The 1,855-nt window shown below is 52.6% G+C and overlaps 1 annotated feature.

Annotated features, from left to right (window-relative positions):
- Positions 1,104-1,604: an enhancer, noted in NCBI's record as "H3K4me1 hESC enhancer chr10:80587578-80588078 (GRCh37/hg19 assembly coordinates)". NCBI's record gives its function as "activates a minimal SCP1, AML or CMV promoter by ChIP-STARR-seq in primed H9 embryonic stem cells {active_cell/tissue: H9 hESC(primed)}" and the evidence as "EXISTENCE:reporter gene assay evidence [ECO:0000049][PMID:30033119]".

Raw genomic sequence — 1,855 nt, forward strand, 5'->3', positions numbered from 1 at the left:
GACAGCCACGCACCACCCCAGGCCTCTGTTCCCTCCTAGCATCCTGATTGCTATCAGAGAGCCCAGTTCTATAATGATGTCTCCTGAGGCCATGCCTGACCTACAGAGGCCACCCACCACTGAACCCCTCCCTGATGCTGGTACCATCTCTCAGTGCTTTGGTGAATGGCAGCTATCGGGGCCCTTCTGTGGGCCACAGTCATTTGGTAGGTTTTCTAGCTTCCATGGAATATCCTCTCCAGCATGCCCACTCCTCAGAGGTTTTGATTCCTCCTCCTGACATTTGCCATGGTAATTCTGGCATTTCTCCTTCACATAGCTTGGGCCATATCTCCTGCCAAGCTTCCAGGAGCCACCAGGCAGCACACATCTCAGGGTCCATGCAGGGTGTGAAATCCTCTGTTAAGGGAGAAGCCCTATGTTGATAAACTCTCGCTCATTTGCTTTTTTATTCCACTGCTCCTTATTCAGCCCCTCAGTGTGCCCTGCATCCACTCATGGACCTGCCTGGTTGGTGGTGTGTCCTGCACAAACTTCCTTTCCTCCCTCTGAAGGCTCGGCACTTACCCTCCTGGTTTGTGCAGTGGCTTGGTCCAGTGTCTGGGAGGGAAGCTGGAGTAGATGTTGCATCGGTAGCACATTGTCTTGTAAGACAGAGGCCTCTACCTTAACTTCAAGCCCGGGCAGTGCGTTAGCCTTTCACAGCTGGAAAACAATCATTTCGGCAGGCCCAGAGGATTCCAGGGCCCTGGAGCTTCAAAGTGTTCAAGTTCATTGACCCCAAGTCTCATAGTCGACTCCTTCCCAAGCAAGGCTGTGACTGTGGCATAGCTGACTTACCCAGGGTGAGAATTCAGTCTTCTCTGAAGCTTCAGAGAAGATGCTGCGCTTCTCTGAAGCTTCACCCTTAGAATTAAGTCTGGGTCCTGAAAAGCAGCTTTCTCATCTCTCCACTGCTGGACAAGTGCGTCTCTTTATGTCGCGGAGGAAGCCCACAACTTGCACATTTTGCCTTAAAGTGGTAATTAATCACCTACAGCCTTTTATTGTTTTTTTTTCCGATCCATTGATTGCATTCAGTAAGAGCCATGCAATTTCATTGTCCTTATAATTACTAATTTCCCCAGTCCTCTCCAGCTCCTGAAATATGCAGCCTTCCCTGCATTCTCTTCCATCCCAGTTTTTCCAACAGAGAAAAAGCCAGCCATTGCACCCACAGTTGAAACTATGGGCCAGGAGCTCTTAGCCCTCCACCTCCAGCCTGTGATGAGGTCTTCAGTGCCCACTGGGCAACAGGTGATCCAGCTCCACAATCCTAGCTAGATTCCATTTCCTCAGGCCACTCCTCGTTCTGGCCCTCTTTGGCTTGGTTTCCTGGGACTGCCATGAGGACTTACACGCAGGAAGTGTATTGGGATGTCTGGGGATCAATACCTGTGGGGAGTAACAGACTCCAGGCCAGGCAGAGAGAGGCTGAACTGCAGTGCAGCCGCAGCACAGGCCTCAGCCAAGCCCCAGGGGCTCTAGAGCTGGGAATGACTTTTCAGAGAATGTGTCTACCAGTCATTCAATTGGGCTGTGTCCTCCTCCCCTACATGTGGGGAGGGGCAAGACCTTGGGGGAGCCAGTGCCCCCTGCTCAGGGGAACTCCTGAGGAGGGACTCAGCCTCAAGCCAGCAGCGGCCCACACTCTGGGCAGCAGAATGAGCTCCTCGGTCCCCAGAGGGTATCTGGGCAGTGCACCCCAGCATCCACTACAAAAGCGATGTGAGGAAAGGCTGAAGGAACAAAGGCCTGGAAAAGGATGATCCCACAATGCGATGCCACACTCGGAGATCTGAAGGATGGGCCTGTG

The sequence above is a fragment of the Homo sapiens genome, chromosome 10 (assembly GCF_000001405.40).
Source record: "Homo sapiens chromosome 10, GRCh38.p14 Primary Assembly".
Classification (NCBI taxonomy): Eukaryota; Metazoa; Chordata; class Mammalia; order Primates; family Hominidae; genus Homo; species Homo sapiens.